The following is an 11,354-nucleotide window of genomic DNA, read 5'->3' as shown; positions in this document are numbered from 1 at the left end:
TGCATTTAGTGATGAAACCACGTCAAAATACAAAATATTTATAAGGGGAGAAAGAGCTCCATTTAGTAAATATGTAAGAATGATAGAGATTCTCTTCATAGTCAGGAGAAGCCAGCCTGACACAGGCTGGTGGCAACATCAGGGCTTTCAGAATGAATCTACGCATGGACACCATGCATAGATTTTTCATCTAATCACTGCACAGCCCAACACAGCCACAGCCATAGAGAAGTAATGTAAGAAATAAATAGCTAGATGGACTGGATTACATGCAGGTGAACTAGGCCATTGCTAGTGAGATCGGGAAGTGGTTCATCATGGAAATTTCTCTTCACACAGTTTGTAATCTGGCATTCCATGATTAGGAATTTATTTCTTTGGCTAGAAGCTTTGCACTCTATAACAATTTAAATCATTCCATTGAAAAAACATAATAATCCTTCTTAGTCAATGAACATTAGTGATGAAGTTTATCAAATTCTTTACAGTTGTGATGGGAAAGAACAAATTTTGTTTTTTGGGGAGAGTTTTGATAGACTACATATATCTGTAAAAGTCTTTAAAAATGCACTTAATTTCCTAAGATCCCATCCATATAGATTTAAAAAGGCAGAATAAAAATGAAACTTTCTACCATGTTCATAGTCAATTCCAAAAGCAATCTGTCAAGGGAATTCTGTAGTTGGTTGAGTTATTTATAATCTAATAAGATCAGATGATATTTTCTGGTACAGTTCTCTTGGTGTAAATCTTCATGAACAATACCAGTTTAAGGTTTTTTTTCTTCTGCTGAAGGCAAAATATCCAGACAGCAGTTAGATATTTTTTAAAAATCTTTTAAATATTATTTTTTAATTAAATAACTGTAAATATTTATGGGTAAAATGTGCTATTTTGATATATGTATACAACCCATGTAGTCCTCCCTCTACTCTGAAGAAAATAGATATTGACCCAGCTCTACTGGGGTAGGTTTATTGTATACAAAGGTGTAAGTTTTCTGCCAAAGGCTTAAGAGTTATCATCAAAACACTAGAGGCACAAATCTAAACTCTAGAAAGCATGTGTGGCAACTCCCAAATCTGTCTCATAATAGATGCCTGGTAATAGTAATGTCTGAATTTTTTTTAAATTTGGGATCTTTTCAAACATTATATTTGTATATTTCCTCATTTTATCACTGCATTTTCATAGAGGAAGATATAAATCAACAATTTTTACTGATGTAGTAATTGAATCTTAGAGTAGCTATGACAACCAAATCTTTAAAAAAAGAAAAAGTGCCTGTGGTTCTATTCTATGAACTACAGTTCCTTTCTTATTCAGGCATCTCCTTCTTTGTTTCCCAATGCAAGACACAGAAATCTCTCAAGGTTTCCTTTAAGAATATATTTCTACACTTTTCAGAATAAAGTTTCTGAAGTCCATTCTAGGGGCAGGTAAGAGCCCAGACTCTGGACATTTAAAACTACCCATGGGATCTAACATCTGAGTACCATGATAGATTCTTTTTGCCCTTCTCTCTTATTTCAGTGCACCTGAACTGAAGTTGTAATTCTTGGAGAGTTTCAGAATGGGAATGCAGACCTGGGTGCTAGCTACTCTCTGCATGTTAAAAGGTAATTGAATAGGAGCAAATACAAGTACAATTGGATATGTAGGCTAGAGGCACTAAGTTGCAGTCTCAAAGAGGTCACACTGAAATGAATTTTTTAAAAGAACTATAAAATTGCATCTAAGATAGATGGGAAGCAAAAGCAATATTTAAATGAAATTGTTATGGATATAAGTCACTTTTCAAGCATTATAACTACTTCTAACATAAAATATGTTTTCACTTCATATATAAAACATTGTTATTATTCACATCTTATGACATGTTAACATATTAAAACTTAAATGTTTAATGCATATATTAAAATTTTGTGTCATCATTAACCCAGCTGATGAATTCTTTTTGGAAAAAAAAATGGAAAAGATGTATCAAGACAGATAATTTTTACAATTAAAATAAAAATATGTAACTTAAAGTATAGTGAGATAAAAATGTCTGATTCAAAGTTCCAAATCCCCTTTTCTCTTTTCTCTCTCTGTTTTTCTCACAGGAATCCTACTGCCATTTGTTTTCCTATTAAATGACATTTCAAATACTTTATTATAAACATAAATCACATCTTTCAAGAAGGTAAATGACAAACCAAATTTGAGATCTGGCTTGCATTTCTACACCCTACCCAAGACTAAATAGATGAACAGTTGCTTTATAGATTGTAACTGAAAGATAAACAAAGAGAGACAGTATATTATAGAAAACACATCACTTGAAACTGACATCTGCCCTTTAATTCACGAACATCATCCAAAACCCTGTCACTTCACTTGACATCTGTTACATACCCTGATGCATGAAGTTGTGGAAAAGAGCAATCTTATTTGCAGTTGGTGAGAAAAAAAATTATATATACATATATATGTGTGTGTGTGTGTGTGTGTGTGTAAACTTTTTAAACTGCTTTACCTATAGATATGAGTTCATCTTCATCAGTGTTTTAAAAAGACAATGCTGTTGTTCACACACTAGTCCACCTACATCTAGTAATGGATGCTGAGATGCTAAAAGTCCTCTGTGCCCAAATAAACATCCTCTGTGATATAGAAAACTTCCACTATTAATTTTATTTCTTTGAATTAAAGCATCTCAAGAAGATTCTCATGAGATGTCCACATAGAACCTGGGATGAGTCACTCATGAATACATTTGTACTAATTATCATCAGTTATTACATTAATGGAGAAAGGTTCCTTTGAAGCAGAAAAAGGAAGAACTGCAATAGAATGAGACAATGAGTGAGAGACATCTGGAGTCTATACGTAGACCTTTGCTACCTGCAGTGCAACCGTTTCAGCCTCACCTGGGAAATTGTTAGAAATGCAAATTCTCAGGTTCCACCCAGTCCCTACTAAAGTGGCATGCTTGGGAGTGAAGCCCAGGAATCTGCATTTTAACAAGCTCTTGAGATGCTTCTGATGCTTGCTAACATTTGTCAAGCACTGGTCTAAACTTGAGAATAGTGGGATCCACTGGCAGATTAAGAGTGGATAAGTAGACCTGGAAGAAGTATCTCACACACCACTTATGTTTATTTTACACATTTATTTACATTTGCCATGATTTCAGTTATGTTTAACCTCAAACATAATACAAAATTAAATTGCCAGTATAAATTTATACCCCAAAACTCCTACGATATTTGCATATGTCATAATGACATCACTGGTTAAAAATGCTTACATTTAACAAGTATATAATTTCAGAAGTTTTGGGAGTGTTCCCGACGGCAATTAAAATTTTAAAGAATCATTATCTATGCAAGCGTTGTTATATCTGAAGCCACTGCTAAGTCTTTGAGCATTAATGGTACAAAAACAAAATGATAATAAACCACCAAAAAATACTACCTGGAATCAAAGGGTTTAAAGAGACTTGTGAAGTCATCCATAATCTCTCAGCTTGTAGATTCTAATTGTGCTCACTAAGGGTGAGTCCTTCTACACAGGAGATTTGGCTCTGAAGAAGATGAAGCTGGTGACTCAGCAAGAAGAGGGTGGACTGGGCTGGAGATGGGCTGCCTTGGCCTCAGGACACAGGAGCTGAACTGAGGCCCCCTGACTAGGAAGCACCTTTCTTCCCTAAATCTGCCATGGACTTTGATTAGGAGGGTTCTTACCGGCTTCCTGTGGGGACAAACTATTGGCTCTGTGGCAACTTGGAAATCACTTCTGCTCCTTAAAAAAATCTAAGATTTTGTCCAGGCATGGTGGCTCACACCTGTAATTCCAACATTTTGGGAGGCCAAGACGGGAGGATCATGAGGTCAGGAGTTGGAGACCAGCCTGACCAACATGGTCAAACCCCGTCTCTACTAAAAATACAAAAATTAGCTGGGCATGGTGGTGTGCTCCTGTAATCCCAGCTACTCAGGGGGCTAAGGCAGGAGAATCACTTGAACCCGGGAGGTGGAGGTTGCAGTGAGCTGAGATCACATCACTGCACTCCAACCTGGGTGAAAGCATGAGACTCCGTCTCAAAATATATATATAAGATTTTAAAAAATGGATTTGTTTTCCTCAAAATGAAGGATTGTAGTAGATCAATGTTTTCTTATTACAGAAACAAATTATGTAATTTATAGAAAAAGTGGGAAATCCAGGTAAACAAAGTACAAAATAAACACTGACATACTTCCTTCCCAGGGATGAGCAGTTACTTTAGCATATATCTCTGCAGATCTTTTTGTTGTTGTTTTACAAAAATAAAGTCAATACTGTATGTTATCATCTACGTTGTTCACCTATCAATATGTCCTAACACGTTTTCATGTCAATAATTGCTCTTCTGTAACACCTTTAATGGCTACTGAGCGTTCCATTTTATGGTTGTATCATAATTTATTTACCAAATTCCCAATTGTTTCCTATACGCAATTTCTAATTTGTCACTATTATAAAGTGTGTTCTGGTGATTCATCCTGATAGTTATGTTTTTATGCCTGTCCTTAAAAATTCCCAACAATAAATTTGTAAAATATTTAACACGTGTGTATTACTAAATACCTAGTCATCAGTTGACCCATCTTACTCAAATTAAGAAAATACTATGTGTACTTACCATTGAACTTCATCTTGTTAGATCTAGTTCATTCCTCAAGCCTGCAGGGAAGTTGTCAGAGCCCAATTTTATAATCAAAGGAAGTCACTGCTCTACCCTACTTCATGGCATCTGGAAATTTTGTACATAAGTCTTTCGCATGTGCACAATTTTAATAAGATATCCTAGAAGCACGACAATTTTAAAGTTCATATTCTTTTAGATTTTAGAAAGAGAATAATCATATTCTATATACTATATATAGATGTTCCTGCTATGATTCCATATGTGTGTTACTGGAAAACCTTGTGTCCCACAAGCTGGTACACTAAACTTAATAAGGCCTATGGGGAAAATAGGTTTGTGGTAGACCCCCCAAATCCTTTGGAATTTTGTAATCAAAATATTAACAACAAAAGCAACAAAAAGCAGTTTTAATGAAAATGTAGCATAGCCAATCTTTACTGACATTTACACGCAGTGCCCCAGTTAGTCAATCCTTTACAAAATGAAATCATGGAGCTCTTGCTTTGTAGGGAAAGAAGTAATGAAGGATGTTTACTTTTAATAGTGACCATTTAAAAAAAAAACCACTTTGATTTAAGGTGTAGCCTTCATTTATCTGCTATTTAATATAAGAGGAGGAGTTATCTTCGCAGAATTTTTGTTTACACTTGTAGGTTTTCCTGATATCTAAACCTAGTGGTTCCAGAAATTTAGTGGTTGTAGATGCCACTAAGACAGCTACTACTAGTACTTGCATTTTTCTGGGTTTTCAGCTTATTTTATTAAAATTATACATTTCCAGGGTCTTATTATGTTTTATTTTATTTTATTATTTTATTTTTGAGACAGAGTTTTGCCCTTGTTATCCAGGCTGGAGTGCAATGGCGCGATCTCGGCTCACTGCAACCTCCACCTCCCAGGTTCAAGCAATTCTCCTGCCTCAGCCTCCTGAGTAGCTGGGATTACAGGCATGCATCACCATGCCCAGCTAATTTTTTGTATTTTTAGTAGAGATGGGGTTTCACTATGTTGGCCAGGCTGGTCTCAAACTCTTGACCTCAGGTGATCCACTTCCCTCAGCCTCCCTGTGCTGGTATTATAGGCATGAGCCACCACGCCCAGCCCAGGTCTTATCTTTAATTGTGAGAAAAGTTGCCCAAACTGCTTCAAAATACTAACATGCTATGAAAAGACTAAACCAAAAGGAATTCTATGTTACATTGGCATAATTCTCCCATTTTCAATAGAATATGAGTCAATTTATATTAAAGAAGCATAAATTATGGCAGAACAAACTGCATTGTCAACACTCCACTGATATTTAGGGTATCACCCTATAAGCTGATTCATTAGTATTTGTTCAGCAAAAATTAGAATCTTCATAGTAAGCAGAATCAATAAAGAGACTCACATTAGTTCATTCAGCGTGTACACTGATGAATTCAACTCCCATGAGCTTTTATCACCAAAAAATACAGGGAAAACCCTTTTAGATTTTGATACAGCAGCTAGTGAATAATAGACCTTTAACCCTTCATCAAGGCCCTAGTGAAAGTTTGCACAAGGCAGTTATGACAGAATACAGCAGTCCACCAGTTACACTAATCAGTGAGTTCTCACCTGCCCCTGGTTAAAAAGCCTGGCATTCTTGCATTAAGTCAACTTCAATTTATAAATGTTGGAAACTTCTCATTTCCACATGCCTAGACACAACTCCTGGATTCAAGACCCCAGTCATTCGGTCTTGCCTGACCTCCTCACTGTTAGCCCCACTGCTCCTTTCAGAAAACTCTCTTTACAGCATGCCAACAGGTTACAATGGCCTTGGAATAAGATTTCCTGTTCCCAGGCTTGCACTTCTCTAGTTTTTTTATGTGTTTGTTTGTTTTACCTAGAATTACATTCCTCACTCCTCTCTGTGTCCAAATTTTTAGTCTCAATTAATTATATGATAACCCTGTTCTTAGTAACTCCTTCTCAATTACTATAGAACTAATTACTAATTACCTATGATAATCATATCACACTCAATATATAAAGGCTTGTAATTTCATATATACGTATTATAGATAACAATTCTTCCCATTTCTCTATCCTGGGCTTTTGTGTGTTGTTTCTATAGCAGAAGACCATGCCATTTATGTATTTATAAGTCATTTATAAAATGTATTTATAACTCATTTGCATCTGTTAGTGTACTCCCAATAAACAGACTTATTTATCAGCTGGCAAGAAGTTAATATCTTGACTTCAAAGGAGGGGTGGAAGCAGAATTCCTTCCTTTTAAAGAGACCTCAATTTTTTCTCTTAAAGCCTTCAACTGATTGGATGAGGCCCACCTTCATTATGAAGAGAGATCTGCTTAAAATCCAAAGATTTAAATGTTAACTACATCTAAAATATACCTTCACAGAAATATCTAGATTAGTGTTTGACCAAACTACTGGCCATCATAGCCTATCCAAGTTGATACATAACGTTAATCATCACATCATTTGACCATTCCCCTTCTAATAGTTATTTAGATTATTTCTGGATAGTTAGCCATTATAAAAATTGCTACATTGAGTAAGCTTGTGCATGGCAAGTTCATATATTCACAAGCATATCTTTGCTATACATTCCTATAATTGTGGGGTCAATTATTAGGTGAATTTGCTATTTTGAGGAATATTAGCAAATTGCTTTTCATAGTGGTTGTACCAATATACACTTACATCAGCAGTGTACAAGAGTTTCTGCTTCATCAAACCATCCCCAACATAATGTATTACCAAACTTTTTGAAATTTCACAAAATGAGAGTTGACAAATAGTATCATATTGATTTTCTCTCATTATGAATGAGGTGGAGCTTCTATTAAAATGTTTAACAAGCACTTATACTTTTTGTGAATAAATTGTTCATATCCTTTGTCTATTTCCCATTGTCTTATTGATATTTCTATAAGTTAGAGTTAGTTCTATAATAATTAAAATTACAAAATATATGTTTTTGAGTTGCAAATATCTCACAAAGTTCTGTTTCCATTAGTATATTTTCATCATTAGGATTTTTAATAAGAGCTTTTAGGCATTTCAACAGTTTGAATACATTTTAATTAAAATTTTACATAAACATAAGGAATTTGAAACATTACATGTATACAGATCAATGAATTTTCATTAAGTGAGTAAAGTTAACCTTTGTAAATACCATTCAGAGTAAGAAATAGTGCTCCATAGATACTTCCCCAAATGACACTTCCAGTTACTATCAGTTCCTCCCCAAAGGTAAAGCCACCAACATACATCAGTTACACCTGGGTTTAATATTTACATGTTTGTTTATAATATTTATTATGTTTATTATATATAAAATTATATGATTTCAAAAAGTTATATAAAGAATCTGTATTTTTTGTGTGTTTGGCTTCTTTTGCCCAAATTCTATTTATAAGATTCATCCAGCTGGGTGCGGTGGCTCATGCCTGTAATCCCAGCACTTTGGGAGGCCGAGGCGAGCGGATCACAAGGTCAGGAGATTGAGACCATCCTGGCCAACATGGTGAAACCCCGTCTCTACCAAAAATACAAAAAATTAGCCGGGCGTGTTGGCAGGCGCCTGTAGTCCCAGCTACCCGGGAGGCTGAGGCAGGAGAATGGCGTGAACCCGGGAGGCAGAGCTTGCAGTGAGCCGAGATCGCACCACTGCACTCCAGCCTGGGTGACAGAGTGAGACTCCGTCTCAAAAAAAAAAAAAGATTCATCCCTGTTATTTTATATTACATTATATATAATTACTTTATCCTCAATACTGTATGTGTTAATATATTATAATTTATTAACTCATCAACTCTTAAAAGCCATTTAGGCTTTTGCTATTTTTAACTACTTTAAGAATGCTGCTAGAACATGCCTGCATCTTTTAGAGACTATATGCATAAATTTCTGCTGACTACATATTTCAGAGTGGAACTGCTGGGTCAAAGGGTACGGTTGTGCTCAACGTTAGTAAGTACTATGAACAAATGATAAATTGTGATTGTAAAATTTTAAACTCTCATCATCAACAGTGTAGCTATCATTTTAATGTTAGCTCCTCTATATAGTGGTCCCTTATTGTGTGTGTGTATGTGTGTTGTATTCTTCTGATGACTAATGAGGGTGATAACTTTTTTGGACTGTCTCTATTTAACATTTATTTTAAATTTCATTATTTTATTGTCTGCCAACTGAAAGTTTGATATGTGTTCTTTCTCTTCCTGCTTGAAAGGGGAAATTGGATAACTGATTTTTATCCATTCTTCTTTTTTTAAGATAGAAATTTAAGGCTATAAATTTTCTTCTAAGCAGATAGCTGCATTCCTAAAGGTTTGATACTTTATATTTTTTTCTGACATTTAATCAAAGTTTTTCTAATGTCTATTCTTTTTTTTTTTAAAAAATTATGCATTACTTAAAAGTGCTTTGTTTAATCTCCAAGCTGTTGGGGGGATTTTTTAGTTTTCTTCTTACTGATTTCTAACTTAATTTCACTGTGGTCAAAGAATATATTTTGAATGTCTTAAAATCTTTGAAATGTGTCGAGCTTTGCTTTATGATCCAGCATGTGGTCAATTTTGCTAAATGTTCCATGTGTGCTCTGTTGTCATTGGATGCAGTATTCTGATGTCAATTAGATCAGATGGGTAACTGTGTTTGTGGGGGACATAGTAAAAGACGGCCTTCAATTATCCTTGCCCCCTGATAATCAAACCCTTACGTAATTCTCTCCACTTGAATGCTGGTGGATCCTGTGACTTGCTTCTCACCAATAGAATAGGATTATAAGATTGTATCATCCAGTCACTTTCGCTTTGTGATTTTGATGAAGAAAGCAGCCCTGTTGGAAAGGCCCATGTGAGAAGAAACTGAGACTAACAACTGAGGCTAAAATGAGGTTGACCTCTAGCTAATAGGCAACAAGAAGCTAGGGACCTTGATCTAACAGCCTGCAAGAAAGAGAACTATGCCAAGAAGGGTGTGATCTTGGAAGTAAATCCTTCCCCAGTCAAACATTGAGATGAGGCTGCAACTCCATTGGACACCTTGATTGCGATTCTCACATGAGCCTCTGAGGCAGAGAGAACTATACAAACAGTGCCAGGCTCTTGACCCACAAAAACTGTGAGATAGTAAGGTATGTTGTTTGAATTAGGCTCTTTTGTTTAAACCCCACAAACATACTTTGTTGCTATTTGTTTTCAATGCGTCACCATTTATATGACTAAGTCACCCTCCTCTGTCTCTAATTCTTTTCATCTTCTCACGTCTTCTACCAGTTGAATGTAGATAGCCTCTGAGACTCAGAGTTCCAATTTCTGGAAATAAAAATATGATGGATTTAGATGATCTTTATTCTCTTTTTCCAGATAGTACTTTCACACAAGTCTATTTTCCAGGTTTCTCAGCAGCAGATAACACCGCTGCTTTTGTATTGATGAACATTCGTAGTCCACTGATACAGAAGGGCAGGGATGGTGTCATGACATCATGTTCTCAGTGCCTTCTGGGGCCACTTTTTTTTTAGCAAGAAATTATAGACAGCAACCCCTCTGGAATGGGGATTTGCAGTATGACAGGCTTTGAATAGATTGGACAAGCCTCTAACACACACTCTATTTGGTGTTCTATCTGTTTTTGCATTTATCTATAACTTTTCCCTATGGAACTCATGATATAAGGATCTGTATAGCTCTTGTGTGCCTCTATATCCTGCTATTTTCATGGCAGGTATTGCCTTGAAAGGTTTATAAATGGAGAGAAACTGAGGAACTGGCTCATGGATAAAATTCCATGTCTGGCAAACCTAGAAAGTAGATATCATGGCCATATATTTTTCTTGTCGATGCAACCTCTGCATTTAGGTTTATGTAAAGACAGTGAGACTAACTTAAAGGCTTTTATTCTGCCTACTTAGGGAAATCTGTCCTGGTTGATTGTATCAATTTTTCCCAAGAAGTTTTTCACTTCTCTGCCCCTCTTCATTAATTACAGGGATAATAGAAGCACTGGGTATACATAGGCATATACATTTTTGCTGTATTTTCTCTATAGAGTCTTTGCTACTTTTTGATTTTTATATGCCTCAGGGGTATATAAATCTTTTCTTTTAATAGGACATTATATTTTGATATATTTTAGTGGATGTTAGGGAAAGACAGTTTTTAACTGTCATGATAAACTGCAAGTTCTCTTGACTGATTTTCCTGATTGACTTCGTGCAATTCTATTTTTCCTTTTTTGAAAAAAATATTTTCATCTTTCTCATTGTAAAAAAAAAGTTCTCATGTTATCTTCTTTTTCCTCATAACTGAATTAACCATTCAGGGAAGCTCTTCAGTGAAGATGTATTTTAAAGAGGATTCCTTCATTCAAAGCCAACTACCAGTATTTGTTATTTCAGACCTATGCCATTCATTTATTCAATTTCCCAGCAAGAATATTTGGAAATCCTGAATTTATTCTATTTGATGACATTGCCTATATAATATCTGATCAACAAATTTAATTCAATGCATTGTCTAAAATACTATTCTAATCTCTTTCTGTTTCCTAATTCAGGGCCATTGCTTTGGTTCAAGTCTTCATAACTTCTTTCCTGCAGAAGTAAAATCTCCCATCCTTAACTCTTTCTTCTTTGAGTTGATCTCTGTGGTCCACCCATTCTAATGGGGTTA

The 11,354-nt window shown here is 35.3% G+C and overlaps 1 annotated feature.

Moving 5' to 3' along the window:
- Nucleotides 2,611-3,112: an enhancer, noted in NCBI's record as "NANOG hESC enhancer chr6:9199635-9200136 (GRCh37/hg19 assembly coordinates)". NCBI's record gives its function as "activates a minimal SCP1, AML or CMV promoter by ChIP-STARR-seq in primed H9 embryonic stem cells {active_cell/tissue: H9 hESC(primed)}" and the evidence as "EXISTENCE:reporter gene assay evidence [ECO:0000049][PMID:30033119]".

The sequence above is a fragment of the Homo sapiens genome, chromosome 6 (assembly GCF_000001405.40).
Source record: "Homo sapiens chromosome 6, GRCh38.p14 Primary Assembly".
Taxonomy (NCBI): Eukaryota; Metazoa; Chordata; class Mammalia; order Primates; family Hominidae; genus Homo; species Homo sapiens.
The sequence above is the reverse complement of the archived record's forward strand: the minus strand, read 5'-3'. Positions and strand labels throughout refer to the sequence as shown.